The 21,500-nt window shown below is 38.0% G+C and overlaps 1 protein-coding gene across 4 annotated transcripts in view, besides 2 other annotated features; it reads right to left on the reverse strand.

Annotated features, from left to right (window-relative positions):
* Window positions 1–21,500, reverse strand: part of CNGA1 (cyclic nucleotide gated channel subunit alpha 1) — an 80,705-nt gene that overhangs the window by 56,949 nt on the left and 2,256 nt on the right. For 2 of the 4 annotated variants that reach the window (XM_011513623.3, NM_001379270.1), the window contains exon 2: window positions 17,869–17,968. The exons of 1 other annotated variant lie outside the window; for it this stretch is intronic. The gene's annotated coding sequence lies outside the window, so the exon portion shown is untranslated. Of the gene's footprint in view, window positions 1–17,868; window positions 17,969–19,963; window positions 20,021–21,500 lie in introns of those variants that run through there. One more of the 4 variants, NM_000087.5, reaches the window with a different exon arrangement.
* Window positions 18,564–19,078: an enhancer, noted in NCBI's record as "OCT4-NANOG hESC enhancer chr4:48013506-48014020 (GRCh37/hg19 assembly coordinates)". NCBI's record gives its function as "activates a minimal SCP1, AML or CMV promoter by ChIP-STARR-seq in primed H9 embryonic stem cells {active_cell/tissue: H9 hESC(primed)}" and the evidence as "EXISTENCE:reporter gene assay evidence [ECO:0000049][PMID:30033119]".
* Window positions 19,079–19,592: an enhancer, noted in NCBI's record as "OCT4-NANOG hESC enhancer chr4:48014021-48014534 (GRCh37/hg19 assembly coordinates)". NCBI's record gives its function as "activates a minimal SCP1, AML or CMV promoter by ChIP-STARR-seq in primed H9 embryonic stem cells {active_cell/tissue: H9 hESC(primed)}" and the evidence as "EXISTENCE:reporter gene assay evidence [ECO:0000049][PMID:30033119]".

Below are 21,500 nucleotides of genomic sequence, written 5' to 3' on the forward strand. Positions count from 1 at the left end.
TTTTCTGCATCTATTAAGATGATCATGTGATTTTTGTTCTTAATTCTCTTTATGTGGTGTATCACATTTATTGACTTGCATATGTTAAACCATCCCTACATCCCTGGTATGAAACCAACTTGATCAGGGTGGATTATCTTTTTCATATGTTGTTGGATTCGGTTAGCTAGTATTTTGTTAATTTTAGCATCTACGTTCATCAGGGATATTGGTCTGTAGTTTTCTTTTTTGGTTATATCCTTTCCTGGTTTTGGTATTAGGTTGATGCTGGCTACATAGAATGATTTAGGGAGGGTTCCCTCATTCTCTATCTTGTGGAATAGTGTCAGTAGAATTGGTACCAATTCTTTGAATGTTTGGTAGGAATCTTCTGTGAATCTGTCTGGTTCTGGACTTTTTTGTTGTTGGTAATTTTTAAGTTACCATTTCAATCTCACTGCTTGTTATTGGTCTGTTCAGGTTATCTAATTCTTCCTGATTTAAGCTAGCAGGGTTCTGTCTTTCCAGGAATTTATCCATCTCTTCTAGGTATCCTGGTTTATGTGTGTAAAGGCGTTCATAGTAGCCTCGAATAATCTTTTGTATTTCTGTGATGTCAGTTGTAATATCTCTCATTTCATTTCTTATTGAGCTTTTTTGGATTTTCTCTCTTCTTTTCTTGGTTAATCTTGCTCATGGTCTATCAATTTTATTTATTTTTTCAAAGAATCAGTTTTTTGTTTCATTTATCTTTTGTATTGGGGGTTCAATTTCATTTATTTATGCTCTGATCTTGCTTATTTCCTTACTTCTGCTGGTTTTGGGTTTGGTTTTTTTCTTGTTTCTCTAGTTCCTTGAGGTGTGACCTTAGATTGTCTGTTTGTGCTCTTTCAGACTTTCTGATGTGTTTGGGGCTTTGAATTTCCTGTTAGCACCACCTTTGCTGTATCCCAGATGTTTTGATAGATTGTGTCACTATTGTCGTTCAGTTCAAAGAATTTTCAAATTTCCATCTTGATTTCACTTTTGACCCAGTGATCATTCAGGAGCAGGTTATTTAATTTCCATGATTTGCATGGTTTTGAAGGTTTCTTTTGGAGTTGATTTCCGGTTTTGTTTCACTGTGGTCTGAGAGTGCCTGATATAATTTCAATTTTCTTAAATTTATTGAGGCTCATTTTGTGGCCTATCATATTGTCTATCTTGGAGAAAGTTCCATGCACTGTCAAATAGAATGTATATTCTGCAGTTGTTGGAAGGAATGTTCTGTATATATCTGTTAAGTCCATTTGTGCCAGGGTATAGTTTAAATCCATTGTTTCTTTGTTGACTTTCTGTCTTGATGACCTGTCTAGTGCTGTCAGTGGAGTACTGAAGTCTCCCACTACTATGGTGTTGCTGTCTATCTCATTTCTTAAGTCTATTAGTAATTGCTTTATAAATTTGGGAGCTCCAGTGTTAGGCGCATATATGTTTAGGATTGTGATAGTTTCCTGTTGGACAAGGCCTTTTATCATTATATAATGTTCCTCTTTGTCTTTTTAACTGCTGTTGCTTTAAAGTTTGTTTTATCTGATGTAAGAATCCTGCCTGCTTTTGGTGTCATTTTGCATGAAACGTCTTTTTCCACCCCTTTATCTTAAGTTTATGTGAGTCCTTATGTGTTAGGTGAGTCTCCTGAAGGCAACAGACAGTTGGTTGGTGAATTCTTATCCATTCTGTAATTCTTTATCTTTTAAGTGGAGCATTTTGGCCATTTACATTCAATGTTAGTATTGAGATGTGAGGTGCCATTCCATTCATTGTACTACTTGTTGCCCATATACTTTGGTTTTTTGTTTTTTAAATTGTATTTTTGTTTTATAGGTTCTGTGAGATATATGCTTTAAAGAGGTTCTGTTTGATGTGTTCCCAGGATTTGTTTCAATATTTAGAGCTCTTTTTAGCAGTTCTTGTAGTGGTGACTTGGTAGTGGTGAATTCTTTCAGCTTTTGTTTATCTGAAAAAGACTGTATCTTTCCTTCATATATGAAGCTTGGCTTCACTGGATACACAATTGTTGGCTGATAATTGTTTTGTTTGAGGAGGCTGAAGATAGATAGAATCCCTTCTAGCTTGTACAGTTTCTGCTGAGAAATCTGCTATTAATCTGATAGGCTTTCCTTTATAGGCTACCTGGTGCTTTTGTCTCACAGCTCTTAAGATTCTTTCCTTTGTCTTAATTTTAGATAACCTGATGACAATGTGCCTAGGTGATGATCTTTTTGTGATGAATTTCCTAGGTGTTCTTTGTGCTTCTTGTATTTGGATGTCTAGGTCTCTAGCAAGGCCATGGAAATTTTCCTAGATTCTTCTCCCAAATATGTTTTCCAAACTTTTAGAATTCTTAGATTTGGTTGGTTAACATAATGCCAGACTTGTTGGAGGCTTTGTTCATATTTTCTTATTCTTTTTTGTCTTTGTTGGATTGGATTAATGCAAAGACCCTGTCTTCAAGCTCTAAATTTCTTTCTTCTACTTGTTTAATTATGTTGCTGAGATTTTCCAGAGCATTTTGCATTGCTCTAAGTGTGTCCATTGTTTCCTGAAGTTTTGATTGCTTTTTATTCTTGCTATCTATTTCATTATTTCTCCCTTCACTTCTTGTATCATTTTTTTTTATTTCCTTAAATTGGGCTTCATCTTTCTGTGGTGTCTCCCTGATTAGCTTAATAACTAACCCCCTGAATTCATTTTCAGGTAAATCAGGGGTTCTTCTCAGCTTGGATCCATTGCTGGTGAGCTAGTGTGATTTTTGGGGGGTGTTAAAGAACATTGTTTTTTTATATTACCAGAGTTGGTTTTCTGGTTCCTTCTCATTTGGGTTGGCTCTATCAAAGGAAAGGTCTAGGGCTGAAGGCTGTTGTTCAGATTCTTTTGCCCCACAGGGTGTTCCCTTGATGTAGTACTCTCACCCTTTTCCTATGGATGTAGCTTCCTGAGAGCCAAGCTGTAGTGATTATTATCTCTCTTCTGGATCTAGCCACCCAGCAAGTCTACCAGGCTCTGGGCTGGTACTAGGGGTTGTCTGCACAGAGTCCTGTTACATAAACCATCTGTGGGTCTCTCATCTGGGGATACCAGTACAGTATTTGGAGTGTTTCCTGGGTCCTGAAGGAGCAATCCACTTCCTTCAGAGAGGTCTCTGGGTACTCCCAGGTTTCCTGATTTATTCCTACAGTCATTCTGGTGCAAAAATTCATGACACGAGCCTCCACACACTGCTCTGTCTATCTGAGTCAGAGCTGCAATCTAGTCCTGCCTCCCATCCACCATGATCCCTCCTCTTAGGGAGTAAGTCCTCCAGCCCTCAGCATGATTGGGGTGGCCTCAGAGACTTGCAACTGATGTTGATAGCTCCTTGGAATATTGGAAATTTAGTGGACTTGAGATTTGCATCCTGGTTTAGATTTTGCATCCTGGTTTGCTAATTTAGATTTGCATCCTGGTTTGCTAATTTCTGACAGCACTGTAGCCTTGGGAAAATTATTTAACTGCCCTGAACCTTGTTGTTGCCATTTTTTATTAGCATAATGGGAATAGATTCTTCTAATCAAGGTATGGTAAATAGAAATGATTGACATAAAACTCTTCACACCAGGCCTGGCACAAATTGAGTCCTTAATTACAGTAAATATTAAGATTATTATTATTTTCCTGTGAGATAGTTCCTGGAGCTTATTATTAAATAATTCATTGTAATTGTATTAAGTTTCTGGTTAAATAACATAATCAAATACAAAGGGCTCAAAGAAATCCAGAGTAAGGAAAAAAAATTATTGGGGAAGAGAGTATGGTTGTACCTGAAAATTTTAAGATTTTAAGTCTTTTAGGGGCTGGGCACAGTGACTCATGCCTGTAATCCTAGCACTTTGGGAGGCCGAGGTGAGTGGATCACCTGAGGTCAGGAGTTTGAGATCAGCCTGGCCAACATGGTGAAACCTGCATCCCTACGAAAATTTAAAAAATTAGCTGGGCTTGGCACACATCTGTAGTCCCCCAGCTACTCAGGAGGCTGAGGCAGGAGAATCACTTGAACCCAGGAGGTGGAGGTTGCAGTGAGCCAAGATTGTGCCACTTGACTCCAGCCTGGGCAACAGAGTGAGATTCTGTCTGAAAAAAAACAAAAACTTAGGTAAATATGAAATCACGCTAACCTATATAATGTTGTGCCTTAAATATACCTGAAGACTTTTGCAGAGTCCATAGTGGAAATATTGTTGCTTATTACCCTTCCCCAAAACTGGCTTTCAATTTAGCTTTCTCAGACATGACAAATTATCTATGTGATATAAGCCTCCTAACTTTTGTTGCTGCTGCCACTTCTTCCACAGGCCTACCCCTAACATTAACAGAACTGGGGCAAGAAAACAAATGGATATCTATGTACTACATTACTAAATATTTAAAATCAAACTAATGAGCTGTTAAAATGAGTTTTTGTCCTCACCTTGAAAAACAAACCTTCATAACCAAAATATTAAAAATCTATAAAGCAATGATTTTAATATGATTAAAACCTAGCAAAATGTCAAAGACAACTGGATTTAATTATTATTGTACATGTCTGGTTAGGTCTGTTGATGGGTCAGGGGTACTCATATTAGTAATAAAATAGAGATATACATAAATGTAAGTTATTATGTATTATATATAATTTACTTTTCTGCCTTCTCAGAAAAATACTAAATATATTGTGATAATCAAGATTTTACATTATTTGGTGGTAGTGCTGTTTCACAACGCTTTGAGTCATTACAGATTGTAGTAATTTTTATAAATTCCTACTTGTACAAACTTTGCATTGTCTCAACACAATTTATAAAATGAGACAGCTTCACAAATAAATCATGAATTTTAAATATTATATTCAAACATTGCAGTGGGCTCCCACAAATCAACAATAGATGCTTCTTGACTTAAAATGTGATTATGTCCCAATAAACCTATCATAAATTGAAATAATCATAAGTTGAAAAGGCATTTAATACCCCAATACACCCACCATAAAGTAGAAAAATCATAAGATGAACCATCATAAGTAAAGGAACATCTGTATACTGTAGTCTAAGTTTTTGCTCATGAAAAAGTAGCTTGACTTCAAACTGGACAAAATGCACAAAACAACAACAGAAGTATGGCATTAGAGAAATGGGGGAAAAATGAGTTGAACCCTGTCCAAAGACCATTTTTAATCTGTGACATGAGAAAAATAAACCAAGCACAGCCCAGCAGTCTTGTTTAGCTAAGGAGTCAGAAATATGACCTTGGAGATTGAAGTAGCCAGAATTTTCAGAGCAAAGTACTAGAGAAGAGGAAGCAATGTAGAGAAAGAACCAGAAATCTGCAGAGAGGTCTTTTCCAGTCTTTGTGGAATGCTAATCTGGACATGCATAAATGAAAATTCCACAGACTGGACAAAGAATAACTTCCAAGGTATTAACAGTTAAATAATCCCAAAACTCACACAGACCTTGGAGATATTCAAGTTACTACCTGTAGACTGGAGAGATTCAGTGAAGACCTCAGGCATTAATAATGCTTACATGGACTTGGCACAGTGGCTCATGCCTTTAATCCCAGCACTTTGGTAGGCTGAGATGGGCAGATCATTTGAGGTCAAGAGTTCGAGACCAGCCTGACCAACATGGTGAAAACCCGTCTCTACTAAAAATACAAAAAAAATTAGCTGGGCAAGGTGGCACATGCCTGCAGTCCCAGCTACTCAGGAGGCTGAGGCAAGAGAATCGCTTGAACCTCAGAGGTGGAAGTTGCAGTGAGCAGAGATCACACTGCTGCACTCCAGTTGGGCAACAGAGCGAGACTCCATCTCAAAAATAAATAAATAAATAAAAAATTTAAATGCTTACATGAAAAGCCACACTTCAATAGCAGGGCTAACCTAACTCTAGGTTAAAGGATACAGTACCCCCTTATTTGTGGTTTTACTTTCAACAACTTTATTTACTTGTGGTTGAGCATGGTCTTAAAATATTTAATGCAAAATTCCAAAAATAAACAATTCATAAGTTTGACATATTATCAGAAGGTCAATAGTAGCCTGATGCTATTTCACAATGCCAAGTCATTCACCTCCTTCGTCTCATCACATAGGCATTGTATCATCTCATATCATCACAAAAAAGGTGAATATAGTATAAGATGTTTTGAGAGAAAGAGAGAGAGACCACATTCACATAACTTTTCTTAAAGTATATTGTTATAATTGTTCAATTTTATTATCAGGTGTTAATCTCTTTCCATGCCTAATTTATAAATTGAATTTTATCATAGGCAAAAATACATAGTGTATATAAAATTTGGTACTGTCCATGGTTTCAGGCACCCCCTGGGGGTCTTGGAACATATTCCCTGCAGATAAAAGAGAGCTATGATACTTTCAATCTGCCATATAAGTCTTAAAAGAAGCTCATAAAGGATCAAACTAATTTGCAAATAATTCAAATTCCTTCCCCTCTTTTAAGGAGGCAATAAAATCCAAACACTTCACAATATGGACTAATAATGTCTGGCATTCAATCAGAAATTACTAGACACATAAAGAAGCAGGAAAATGTGACCCATAATCAGGAAAAAAATCAGTCAATAGCTGCATACCCAGAAGTGACAGAAATCATGGCATATGTCTGGGAACAGTAGCTCACACCTGTAATCACAGCACTTTGGGAGGCCGAGGCAGGTGGATCACCTGAGGTCAGGAGTTTGAAACCAGCCTGGCCAAAATGGTGAAATCCCGTCTCTACTAAAACTTCAAAAATTAGCCAGGTGTGGTGGCACTCGCCTGTAGTCCCGGCTACCCAGGAGGCTGAGGTAGGAGAATCACTTGAACCCAGGAGGCAGAGGTTGTAGTGAGCCAAGATCATGCTCCTGCACTCTCCAGCCTGGTGACAGAGAGAGATTTCATTTCAAAACTAATAATAATAATAATGGATTAGCAAACAAGGACATTAAAATATGTATTATAAATATGCTCAAGAATTCAAAATAAATCATTTATATAATCAACAAACAAATTTAAAACACAGGAAAAAATAACAGAACTTCTAGAAATTAAAATATCTGAAATTAAAAATTTATTAGATGTCTGTTCAGTAGAATAGAAAATGTAGATGATAAAATCAGTGAATGTGAAGACATAGCAATTGAAGCTGCCAAAATAAAGCAAAAAGAGATAAAACATTGGAATCTTAGTAACTCATGGAACCATATTAATTGGATCAACATGTGTAATTGGTACCCTAGAAGCAAGGAGGTAAAAACAAATATTTGAAGAAATAATGTCCAATAATTTTCCAAATTTGATGAAAAGTATAAAATTACATATTCAAGAATTTCAATGAACCCCAAGCAGAATAAAAACAAATAAAATCACTTCAAAGCAAATAAAAGCCCAATTACTAACAATAAGTGTTTTTTTTTTTTGAGACAGAGTTTCGCTCTTGTTGCCCAGGCTGGAGTGCAATGGCATGATCTCGGCTCACCGCAACCTCCGCCTCCCAGTTTCAAGCGATTCTCATGCCTCAGCCTCCCAAGTAGGTGGGATTACAGGCATGTGCCACCACCCCAGCTAATTTTGTATTTTTAGTAGATACGGGGCTTCTCCAGATTGGTTAGGCTGGTCTTGAACTCCCGACCTCAGGTGATCTGCCCACCTCAGCCTCCCAAAGTGCTGTGAACACAGGTGTGAGCCACCGTGCCCAGCAACAATAAGTGATTTTTTAAAAAAATTAAACAGCCAGAGGGAGAAAGTAGGCACATTACATACAGTGGGGGAAGCGGGGGGGTGGGAAGGATAATCACAGACTTGTAAATGAGAAACAATGTAAGCTTAGAATATAACAAAGTAGTATTTTTAATGTGCTGAAAGTAAAGAAATACTGTTAATTTATACTTTTGTACCTAGGGAAAATAGCTTTTGAAAATAAAGGCAAAATACATCTTTTTCAAACAAACAAAAACTGGGAGAACTTATTGCCAGCAAATCTACATTATAGGAAATATCAAAGGTACCAATCTTTAGCCTTGAATCTAACCACATCAATTTTTATAAAATATGTACTCAGACTAAAAGGCTAATTAAAAGCAAAGATTTTCAGATTGGTTACAAAAGTAAAATGCAACTAAATGTCATTTATGAGAAATAAGCTTTAAATAAAAAGACACAGATAGGTTAGATGTAAAGGGAAAAAAAAGGCATGTCATAATAATAAATGTTAATAGGCTGGGCACGGTGGCTCAGGCCTGTAATCCCAGCACTTTGAAAGGCCAAAGCAGGTGGATCTCTTGAGGTCAGGAGTTCGAGACCAGCCTGTTCACCAACATGTTGAAACCCCATCTCTACTAAACATACAAAAATTAGCCAGGTGTGGTGGCATGCACCTGTAATCCCAGCTACTTGGGAGGCTGAGGTAAGAGAATCACTTGAATCTGGGAGGTGGAGGTTGCAGTGAGCCAAAATTGCACCACTGCACTCCAGCCTGGGTGACAGAGCAAGACTCTGTTTAAAAAAATGCTAATAACACAGCTGATTTAGCTATATTAATATCAGACAAAGTAAATTCCAAATCAGAAAGTATTACCAGAATAAACAGGGACATTTAATAATGATAAAATTGTCTATTAATTAAGGAGACATAATAATCCTACTTGTGTTTGTATCTAATGACCAAGTTAAACAAATTTAAAAATTGGCAATAAACTACATTTAGAGCAAGCAACTTAACCCAATTGACATTTCTAAAACACTACACCCAGCAACTGCAGAATACACATTCTTTTCTATTTAACTTGGAACATCCACCAAGACAGATCATATGCTGGGCCATAAACCAAATCTCAACACATTTCAAAGAACTATTATTGTTCAGAATATGCTCTGTGTCCAAAAGAGGATTAAACTGATAACCAATAACAGAAGGATATCTGGAAAAGCTGCAGTTATCTGGAAATCAAGGAACACATTCCTTCATAACCCATGGGTCAAAGAAGAAATTGCAAAGAAAACTTTAAAATATTTTGAACTAAATGATAATAAACATTATTAATAAACACAATATATCAAAATTTGTGGGATGGAGCTAAAGCAGTATTTGGAGGCAAATGTTAGCTTTAAACATTTGTAGTGAAAGAGAATAAAGGTTTAAAATCAAAGTCTAAACTTTCACCTTAGAAACTGGAAAAAGGATAGCAAATTAAACTCCAAGTAGAAGGAAGGAGGTAATAAAAATAAGAGTAGATATCAATTAAAATTTAAAAATAGGTAAGGAAAATCAATAAAGGTAAGAGCTAGTTCTTATAAAGATTCATAAAATTGAAAACCTCCTAACTAGACTGATTGAGAAAAAGATTACCAAGTATAAGCTAGGTACAGTACTAGGCTGGACAGCAACATTTTTGCAAAAAGCCTCAAGCCCCACTCTGTAAAGACAGACCACAACACTGTAGTAGAGAAAGTTTAATAGATACAAGACTAGTCATGCCACATGGGAAATGGAGTTTGTACTCAAATGATCTCCTCCAAAGGTCTTAGGTCAGGGGTTTTTCAAAGGCAGTTTGGGGGAAGGGAGGGGGTGGCCAGGTAATAGGTGCTTGCTGTTGATTGACTGGGGTGGAGATGAAATAGGCGTCAAAGCTGCCCTTCTGTGGGCTGAATTGCTTCTGGGTGGGACCATAGGAGCTGGGTTGGCTGGTCCAGGTGGAGCCGTGGGTGTCAGACATGCAAAAAAAAAAAAAAAACAAAAACAAAAAACCCTGAAAAGATATCTCAAAAGGCCAGTGTTAGGTTCTACAATATTGATGTTATTTGCAGGAGTAATTGGGGAAGCTCATATCTTATAACCTCCGGAATAATGGCTGGCAATGGTTTATGTCTGCACCTTAGCAGGACTCAGGCTCCCCTCCTCCCCACAGCCTGATGGCCTCCCATTAGCTTTATAAAAGTGAATGAGTTTTAGGATAAGACTTATTATCATTTAAACCATAGCCTAAATATCTTTCAAAGTTAGCTTGGTCCTGTGAACCCTGAAAATCTGAGACATGTCTCAGTTAATTTACAAAATTTATTTTGCCAAGGTTGAGAACACAACCCCATGACACAGCCTCAGGAGGTCCTGATGACATGTGCCCAAGGTGGTCAGAGCATCACTGGGTTTTATACATTCTAGGGACACATGAGACATCAATCAACATATGTAAGGTGAACACTGGTTCTGTCTGGAAAGGCAGGATAACTCAAAGCAAAAGCAGGAAGATTGGAAGCAGGGAGGGGGCTTTCAGGTCATAGGTAGATAAGAGACAAATAGTTGCATTATTTTGAGTTTCTGATTAACCTCTCCAAAGGAGGCAATCAGATATGCATTTATCCCAGTGAGCAGAGGGCTGACTTTGAATAGAATGGGAGGCAGTTTGGCCCTAAGCAGTTACCAACTTAACTTTTTTCTTTAGCTTAGTGACTTAGGAGCCCCAAGATATATTTTCCTTTCACATTTTCCCCCCTTTTCTGTGGGCAGCAAGTCACCCAGGTGCCGAGGCAAGAGACCAAGGACACGAGCTGTTCCAGTATAATAAAATATAAAATAAGAATAGTTATACCAGATATAGATCTTAGATATGATTATATATGAATATTATTAATCATTAGTTTGTAGCAATTACTCTTTATTCCAATATTATAACAACCCTCGCTCTATAATCATAACCTAGGAAAAACCAGGCCATACAGAGATAGGAGCTGAGGAGACATTGGGAGAAGTGACCAGAAGACAAGAGTGTGAACCTTCTGTTATGCCCAGACAGGGCCACCAGAGGGCTCCTTGGTCTAGCAGTAATGCCAGCATCTGGGAAGATGCCCTTTGCCAAGTGGACCGTGGTCTAGTGGTAGCATTAGTGTCAAGGAAAAACACCTGCTACTTAGCAGACCAGGAAAGGGAGTCTCCCTTTCCCCAGGGGAGTTTAGAAAAGACTCTATCCTCCACCTCTTGTGGAAGGCCTGACATTAGTCAGGCCCGCCCGCAGTTATCCAGAGGCCTAACCATCTCTCTGTGATGCTGTGCTTCAGTGGTCATGCTTCTAGTCCGCCTTCATGTTCCATCTTGTACACCTGGCTCTGCCGTTTAGTTAGCAGTAGCAAATTAGTGAAAGTACTAAGTCTCTGAGAAGCAGAAATAATAATGTAAGCTGTTTCTCTCTTTCTCCTCTCTCTCTCTGCCTCAGCTGCCAGGCAGGAAAGGGCCCCCTGTCCAGTGGACACGTGACCCATGTGGCCTTACCTATCATTGGAGATGGCTCACACTCCTTACCCTGCCCCTTTGTCTTGTATCCAATAAATATCAGCGCAGCCTGGCATTCAGGGCCACTACCGGTCTCCGCGTCTTTGTGGTAGTGGTCCCCCAGGCCCAGCTGTCTTTTTTTAATCTCTTTGTCTTGTGCCTTTATTTCTACACTCTCTCATCTCTGCACACGAGGAGAAAACCCACCGACCCTGTGGGGCTGGACCCTACACTTTTCTTTTAAAAAATCCTTTGGAGAAAGCATTTTAGAAGAAAATGCGTCTCTAGTCTGAGGTTTTGTCCGATCTCTCATGGCTAGGATGGTTTATTCCTAGATGGGTAGGTCCCAAGTTATTTAGGAAGGCTCACTTTTAGCAGGCTGTAAAGTCTCATGTCCTATAAAGAGAAAATAGGAGGAGGAAGGGAGAAAAACAAGAACAAACAAAGGAACAATCCTGGAAAATGCATATAGGCCACACTACTCTGAAGTCCACATATCAATAGACAGGCAGTAAGTGGCTTATGTATGTAAATAGGTTGTTGTTATTTTCTTCTGAAGTTTAAGTTGTCTAGCTTCTGTTCACAGGGCTTTATGAATGCACAGCTTAGTTTTCAGTGACTCCAAATTAGGATAAATGGGGGAGTGGGGGTGGGGGTAAAGAAGGAAAAGAAACTGAAAGCAATATTTTGAAGGCTTGTAGCCAAGAAAAATTAGAACTCAGTCCAAACTGTAGAAAATAATAAAAGTTGAAAAACATTAGGCAAGACTGGAATCTAAGAACAGGTGTACTATAGTTTTTGAAACATAATTTTTCCTCTCCAGTTTCCCATTTTTACTAAAGACAAATCGTGGTTGGACTGATTTGCTTTTTTATTATTTATTTATTTATTTATTTATTTATTTGAGATGGAGTCTTGCTCTTGTTGCCAGGATGGAGTGCAGAGGTGTGATCTCAGCTCACTGCAACCTCCGCCTCCGAGGTTCAAGCAATTATCCTGCCTCGGCCTCCTGAGTAGCTGGGATTACAGGCATGTGCCACCACGCCTGGCTAATTTTTGTATTTTTAGTAGAGATGGGGTTTCTCCATCTTGGCCAGGCTGGTCTCGAACTCCTGAACTCATGATCCATCCACCTTGGACTTCCAAAGTGCTGGGATTACAGGTGTGAGCCACCACGCCCGGCCCTGACTTGCTTTATTATACTTGGCCTGATTATTTGTTTACAGTGCAACAAAAATAATTTTTTTACATAGGCTTTTAAATTGGCTTTGATGGTACTTTATTCCATAGAAGAAATCTCACATAAGACTTTTTTAAAGTCAAACCCAGCCATGGATTTGTACCATCAAATACCTATGAGTTGGGTAAATTCCTTTCCTGTTGAGGTTCCAAGATAAACCTGGGGCTCCTGGACCTGTCAGAAAGTGACATTCTTTACTTACCACAGGTCAGGAACCCTGTACAGGGACTGTATAGACAAAAGTATGAGGCCAGTTTTCCCAAGGGGCTTGTATTGATTCCATAAGCCAAGTTTGATTCCTTAAAGCAAAGCACACCATCCCAGTAAAGAGCCTCGGTAAAGTAACTAGTTTCTCCAATTGTGTCCTGTTACAAATGAAAACAGATTCTTATTGCATTTATGCAAATAACTGTATTGTCGTAAGTTAAGAATACTCACAAATAGTTTCCAAATTCTGTAGAAATCAGGTACAGAGAAAGAAATATGCTCCAAATTTTATTCATAGGAGTATACTTACTCAATTGTTAGAATCTGTAAATAGCTTAAACATTTTCTTGACTTTGAAAAACAAAAGAATCAGCACCATTTTAGGCAAAAAGTTAAACAGATTACTTCAGACTTCTATTAGTTTAATCCATGAAGTTAATTCCTATTCTGCTTGATATTCATGAATATTTTATCTCTCCATGAGTCCTGAAAGTTTTTCATCTATTCTGATGTCACAATCTCCAATGTTATCAGAAACCTGTGTTCAAGAGCACCTGTTAGAGTTTTATAAAACTACCTTCTAAAGAGAACCAAAAAAAGACAATAATTGTCTGTGGATGACAAAAAGTTTTAGGGCAGCCATAGTCAAAGACACAATTGATGAGGAAATTTGTTACCTCTGTTGCACACAATAATTTAACATAACAATTATAATTATTACTGATAATGTACACTAAGTCGTATCAGAATTATAGAAGTTTCCCATAATTTTAGAATACATACCAATAACATTTTTATACAAATACAGCCCAAAGAAAACCAAACACCATTTCTTATTTGATGGTGTTTCCTGTATAATTTTTATACCAAATAACCAAATATGTCATTTTTTGACATTAGGGAACCTATTAATAATATCTTAAAGGATTAATTAGTTCAAAAAAAGACATAATTTTTTTTTGAGACAGAGTCTCGCTCTGTCACCCAGGCTGGAGTGCAGTGGCATGATCTCAGCTCACTGCAACCTCCATCTCCTGGGTTCAAGTGATTCTCCTGCCTCAGCCTCCCCAGTAGTTGTGATTACAGGTGTGTGCCACCATGCCCAGCTAATTTTTGTATTTTTTGGTAGAGACAGAGTTTCACCATGTTGGCCAGGCTGGTCTCAAACTCTTGACCTCAAACGATCCTCCCTCCTTGGCCTCCCAAAATGCTTGAATTACAGGTATGTGCCCAGCCAAAAAAAAGACATAATTTATAATTTTGATTTTGGAAAGTTTGTCAAATATCAAAGGTTTACACTTGATATCACAAAATAGGATTACAGGTTATTGTAAAATAAGTCATTCATTTAACCAGAGTGATAACTCAAGGGTTTGAAAAAAAAAAAGTGAAAACCTTAATTCTTTAAGAGAGGACACTTAACTTTCTAAACAATTAGCTCTAATAAAAACAGCATGAAGCCAAATAAATTTGTTTTTCAAAATTTTATAAATAATCTATAAAATCTTAATATTGGTCATAAAATTTAACTTCCATAAGCCTTTTATAACCTTTATAACCTTTATTAAGGAGTTGGTTAATGCTTCAAGAAAATCTTGTTAATCTGACACAGCGGTCCATATGCTGGTCTTGAATAAGAGTGTCTTTGACATTACTGGTTAATTTATAGAGAAATTGAACTTATTTTATCTCTTAAAATCAGCCCTTACAATCCCACATGCCCACCGCTTCCACAATAGTCCCTGGAATTTGAGGCGTTGAATGGCTTTAACTTCTGACCTTGTGTCTCAGGAATGCAGTTTATTTTGATTGGCATATTCTGATGCCAATCAAGAGGGCCTGAAGATGAGGTTTTAATTGCTGTCGGTGTTTTAAGACTTAGCAGGACTTGGTGTCCTTTTTAGACCCAGGAGTCAAAGCCCTGTAACTTAATGTCACAAGTACTTTAAAATCACATACAGAAAGATACATGGATGTAATAACCTTAACTTAAAAAAAAAAATTTAATCTCAGTTTTTTTCCTAAGCAAATCAAAACTTAATAATAATGGCATAGGAATTATTTTTATAAAACCTAAAATCTGTTAGGCCAGTTACCAAAAGGCAAAAGAAAAACCCTTCTGCAGTGTACAGAACATTATGTTGGAAGAAAACATTTCCTTCAGATCTTTAAGAATATTGTTAGCATCAGGCCACAACAAACAGAAGTTGAGGAAACAAAAACTTATATGAGTTGAAGGAAACCATTATTATTTCACTCCTTTTAAAAGGGGAGAGAAAACCAAAAACAGCAAGATGCAATAGAAGTTTAACTTTGGGTTAAGATATAAATAAAATCTCTTATAATTTATTAAGAGTAAATCAATACCCTAAGGAACTTTTATTGTTCTAATCAATTCTTTACTATATAAATGTTTTTGGGTTTTTTTACATCAAACCAAGTCTCTGGAAAGACCATTGTAATTTCCCTTTAACTACAGACAACTTGATCATATAAGTTTTGGGGTTTTTTTTAAATAAATTCTTTCATTGTGACTTACCCAGACCATTCATGACATGCTTGGACTTTCTGGTTTGTCCTGAACATCCCTTTCTTAAACAACCAGTCATTTTATTCTAGGTCTAAATTTACCATGTAATATTCTTTCTCATATAAAATTATTTCTCTTTAAGCTTTCTTACCAAAATATACCTCTTTATTTCTATAAGTTTCTTTACATCTCTCTTATTTCCTGGCTCCTCTTACCTTGTTTTGTACACAACCTTTAAGCTTTGAATTAGAAAAAAATTGTCCACCTTTTTTAAAAGGACACTTTTTTCTAGAAAGAATGTTTTCCTACAATATATTTTTATTGGAAAATACCTAAATAATGAAATATTTTAGTATAACTTTAGATTCTAAATTATGACAAGTTTGCCTACAAGTATTTATCCCATTACATCTGTCTATTTTATTTTATTCATTTACCTACATTATTTATGAAAACTGTGATAGTCATCAATTAAAGTTATGAAACTCACCTTTGCAAAATTCTGAGACAGTGAAAAAGACAGGACCTAACTGACTCCATCTTGCTTCTAACCTCCAAGCTGTCCTTGCTTATTCCCAAACTTTAGAAGGAATTTAATTTATATTTTAGCTTTGAAACAAAGACAGTAATAGTCCTTTCCCCCAAACAAACTTCCTTGCTGCCTGTGGATTACACTGCCTAATGCCACAATATCAGAAGTTATGGTAATTTTACTAAATAATTCAAAATATAGCTGTTTTCATTAAACCAATAGCAATGTCTTATTTATTAAAGATTATGAAAGCAATCTTGGGCTGGGTTTATAGGTTTGTAACCCCTATGCCAAATTTTGACACCTTATAGTATTTGGCAGGGATAAGTATGAAATTGCTTGATTAATAAATGCAAACAAAAATGTATGCTGGCAATGCTTAAGACATTTCTAATATTACTTTATCAGTAATTTTAAAGCTAGCTTATTTAGTAAAGATTTTACAGCTGGGCACAGTGGCTCACACCTGTAATCCCAGCACTTTGGGAGGCCTAGGTGGGTGGATCATGAGGTCAGGAGATCGAGACCAGCCTGGCTAACATGGTGAAACCCCATCTCTACCAGAAATACGAAAAATTAGCCGAGGGTGGTGCTGTGCACCTGTAATCCCAGCTACTCCGAAGCTGAGGCAGGAGAATCACTTGAACCCGGGAAGCAGAGGTTGCAGTGAGCTGATATCATGCCACTGCACTCCAGCCTGGGCAACAGAGCCAGAGTCTGTCTCAAAAAAAAAAAAAAAAAGGACTTTACTTAAATCATGTAAACTTGAAAAAGCATTGGACAGCCACGCACAGTGGCTCATGCTATAGTCTCAGCACTTTGGGAGGCCAAGGTGGGCAGATCACCTGAGGTCAGGAATTCAAGACCACCCTGACCAACATGGCAAAACCCCATCTCTACTAAAAATACAAAAATTAGCCATGTGTGGTGGTGCTTGCCTGTAATGCCAACTACATGGGAGGCTGAGGCAGGAGAATTGCTTAAACCCAAGAGACAGAGGTTGTATTCAGCCAAGATCATGCCATTGCACTCCAGCCTGGGCGACAGGAGCGAAGCTCCATCTCAAAAAAAGAAAAAGAAAAAGCATTCGACTAGTCTTCCCTTTTTTTTAAGAAGGTATTTGATTTAAGTGCTTCTATTTTTCTTTAAGCCAATTAATTAGAGCTCTTTTATATATTTTCAGTAGTGAAACATTATGTACTCAACACACAAATACATAGACATATTAGGCATGCCGATAGAAGTACATCTTATAGATTCATAAAGACCTTTTTTTTTCTATCTTAGACTTTCAGATATTTGATAACCTGTTTCACAACACTAGGCAGTTGTCAGCTAAATAGCCATAAATTTAGATATTAAATGAAACAACACAGGTGAAAATCAAATAGCAAAATTTACATCATAAGGTATATAAAGAAAAAGTCTGGTACTGCTAGAGGGAGATTGATGATGGATGCCAAATCAAACATAAAATTATAGAAATCTATCATAGGATTGTATAAGGAGACCAATTTTATTTAGATAGGGACTATTTATTTTTTAACTGGATCTCTAAGCTCTGGGCAGAGCCCACACTGAATCCTGGGTCTTCAAAAAGAGAATTATTTTAAGGTTAGACCACATGATGCTTTTACAGTGCACTTTAAAAACAAAGACATTTCTAAGTGCCTAAACTATACTCTTCCTTAAAAACCCCAGAGAAGCCTCGGTTGTGTTACCAGGGGTCCTTGCTCACAGAGCTCCCAAGATGGTGGCGAGCCACTTCCAAGATGGTGGTGGGTCGCTTCCAAGATGGTGGCAAGCCTCGTGTTCTCTGACCTGGGGTTCTTGGCCTCACGGATTCCAAGGAATGGAATCTTAGGCCATGTGGTGAGTGTTATAGCTCTATTAGAAGCCGTGGGTCATGGAAGAGAACCGTAGAACCCAGTGACTAGTGTTCAGCTCGATTAGGATGAACCCAGGCACTTAGCCGTGCAGGAACAATGGCAAGCCTTTAGCCCAATCGGGACTGGCAATGGGCACCTTGCTGGATCAGGAGCACAGCACACACCTTGCCGGATCCAGAGGGATGGAAGTCAGCAGCAGGTCTGCGATGGCAGCAAACGACAGTGGTGGGCAGTGGTGGACGGCAAGCGAAAGCTCAGCTCGAGCTGTAACAAACATGGACCAGAAGAGTGCAGTTGCAAGATTTAATAGAGTGAAACACAGTGAAAACAGAGCTCCCGTACAAAGGGAGGGGACCCAAAGGGGGTTGCCATTGCTGGCTCGAATGCCTGGGTTTATATCCTGATCATTGTCCCTCCTGCTGTGCTCTCAGGCAGCAGATGGCTATTTCTTTACCTCCTGTTTTTGCCTAATTAGCATTTTAGTGAGCTCTCCTTACTATCTGATTGGTCGGGTGTGAGCTAAGTTGCAAGTCCCATGTTTAAAGGTGGAAGCGGTCACTTTCCCAGCTAGGCTTGGGGATTCCTTAGTCGGCCTAGGAAATCCAGCTAGTCGTGTCTCTCAGTTGCAATAGATATTAATGAAGAACACAGAATTCAGTCAACTAAGAAGAAAAAAAATTACTAAAAAAAAAAAAGACAAGGTCCTGGGAGAGAAAAAAAACAAAACAAAACATGAAGGTCTTTTAAATACACACATGCACACATGCACACACATGCACACATACACACACACACACACACATCTTGGATGTTAGCTTTTAATTAAGCTGACTTTTAACCATTGAGTTCCTTTTTTAAAAAAATCTTTTAAAATCTCATTACTATTGTCAGTGAAAAGAGTTGAACTCTAAAATATTTGAAGAGCTTTATTCTGAGCCAAATATGACTGATCATGGCGCATGACACAGCCCTCAGGAGGTCCTGAGAACGTGTGCCCAAGGTGGTCAGGGTGAGGCTTGGTTTTACACGTTTTAGAGAGGCACAAGACATCAATTAAATACATTTAAGAAATATATTGGTTTGGTCCAGAAAGGTGGGACAATTTAAAACCAGGTGGGTGTGGGGGGCTTCCAGGCTGTAGGCAAATTTAAACATTTTCTGGTTGACAATTGGTTGAGTTTGCCTAAAGACACGGGATTCATAGAAAGGGAATGTTCGGATTAAGATAAAGATTGTGGAGACCAAAGTTCTTTTGAAGTCTTAATAGTGGCGGCCCTTAAAGACAATAGATGAAAATGTTTCCTATTCAGATCTTAGTTAATCGCTTTAGGATTGGGAGGATCTGGAAGAAAAAGATCTAGCTATGTTAACAGAGATTCTTTAAAGATGCAAATTCTCCCCTACAAAGAACAGCTTTGCAGGGCCACTTCAAGATATGGCAAAGAAACATGTTTTAGGGTAAAATAATTTTGCTTTTCTTCCTTGTCTCATAATGCTATGTCAGAGTCAAGTTGGAAAATAACTCATGATATATTGGCTTAAATAAAACCCTTCTGATGAGAATTTATGATTTGTAGGGCATGACTCCCCAGACACCTTAGATAGGAATTTGGGCAAGATAAAAAAATCAGTTTAGTCCTTACTATATTTCAGCTAGGACAAATTGCTGCTATTTCAGAAGTACCAAGTATCAAACCAGAAAGGGCTTGATTTAGGAACCAAACCCAGGGCTGTTTTGGTAGGAAAAAAAACAAAGGCACAACCTTAGCTATCGGGTGGGACCTTAGCAGTGTGGGAGGACAGCCATTGCTTTCAGTTTGGCCTAACAAAAAGGGTGGTGTTATGTAAACAAAGCCCCTTTAGTAGTCAAAATCAAAAATCCTTCCTCTTTTTCCTTTTGCTGGCCATTTTCCTCCCCACCACACCATCTTTTTTTTTTTTTTTTTTTTTTTTTTTTTTTTTAGAATTTAGCCACTTCTCAGGCCTTCTTCCCCATAATTTGGAACTTTCCTTTGGATTTGATCAAGTTGGATAGAGTTGATCAAACCCTGATCAAGTTGGATAGAGTTGATCAAACCCAATGGGAAAAAGACCAAAACAACAATAAAAAACAGACAACAACAACAAAAAACAGTTAGGCAAAACAAACAATGGCACAATTTATATGATAACTGAGTGCTCTAATGGTAAGGAGAAATTAAGACCAGTTGGTCGTTAATCTTAACTTTAACCAAGACAAACCCCAATTCAGTTACTTACCTAGGGACGAGTCTCTGGCTATAGACTGCTCTCTACCATTCAAGAAGCAGGAAAAACAAAACAAAACAAAAAAAAAAACACTCCTTTTCCCTGTTGGAAGTGAGCCAAACTCCAACGTCATGGAAACAGAAAATTTGTCTTTCTTGATAGAAGCAAGTAAAACTCCAAAAAAGAGAAGTTGTACAGCAAAATAAACTTTAGATCTTGACCAAATTTGGGGAAATCAGGGATTCTCTGGAGGGGGTGCTCTCAGACCTCAGCAAATTGTCCTATTGGTTTGAGCTGTAAAATTAGCTCATGCTGGTACCAAGCACTGATAAGAGGTTTGCCAAAGGTCAGGGGCATCTCCACTCAGAATCCCTCTGTGGTTACCAAAATGTGAACCCCAAAAATTTGAGACAGGTCTCAGTGAATTTACAGTTTATTTTGCCAAGGTTGATAACACAACCCCATGACACAGCCTCAGGAGGTCCTGATGACATGTGCCCAAGGTGGTCAGAGCACAGTTGGGTTTTATACATTCTAGGGACACATGAGACATCAATCAACATATGCAAGATGAACATTGGTTCTGTCTGGAAAGACGGGACAACTCAAAGCAAAGGCAGGAATACTGGAACCAGGGACGGGGCTTTCCAGGTCATAGGTAGATAAGAGACAAATGGTTGCATTATTTTGAGTTTCTGACTAGCCTCTCCAAAGGAGGCGATCAGATATGTCAGTGAGCAGAGGTGTGAGTTTGAATAGAATGGGAGGCAGGTTGGCCCTAAGCAGTTCCAAGCTTCACTTTTCCCTTTAGCTTAGTGATTTGGGGGCTCCACTATTGATTTTCTTTCACAACTCAATAACCCAGGAATAATTAAGGGAAAGGCAAGATGGAGGATGAATTACTCAGCTTACTGTTAAAATTTTCTCAGTGATATAATTTTTGCAAAGGTGGTTTCTACTCCCCAGCTACCACCCCTCTTGTCTAGTCATCTTATTCCTTGCCCCAGAAACCACAGACCTCCCTACAATGTAGCAACTCAGGGGTTAACCTTGACACACCAGGAACCCTCCCAGACCTCCCCAAGCTCGAAAGACCTGTGGCCTTGTCCCTTGAGGCCCTAAGGCTCTACTAATCATTATTTATTTTGACCATCACCCCTGGGTCTAAGTGTCCTAGCACAAAGACCAATAAAACAGAAGTTGGCATTTTAGAGGGTCTCAGTTATTATCGCATTCTAATTTTTGAGTCAGAAGAGTAATTTTCCTAGAATCAAAGAATGGGCTAGTTGGAGATTTTTTTAATGCTCTTCTTTTAGTTAAACAAACAACATGATTTTGCGGGGGAATAAATATCCCCCAACTTTATGTCATTAAAGACAGTGTGTGGTACTATAACGGTATTCCCCAAAGTCATCTAGAAATTATCAATGAAGGAAAATACATATTATAAATTTCTGCTAGGCAACATTTAAACTGGAAAAGCAGTGGTCTTAAATGAGTTTAAATATTTTTTTTCTGAATTTTTTCTCTTTATTTTCAGAATTGAAAA

The sequence above is a fragment of the Homo sapiens genome, chromosome 4 (assembly GCF_000001405.40).
Source record: "Homo sapiens chromosome 4, GRCh38.p14 Primary Assembly".
NCBI classification, from domain to species: domain Eukaryota; kingdom Metazoa; phylum Chordata; class Mammalia; order Primates; family Hominidae; genus Homo; species Homo sapiens.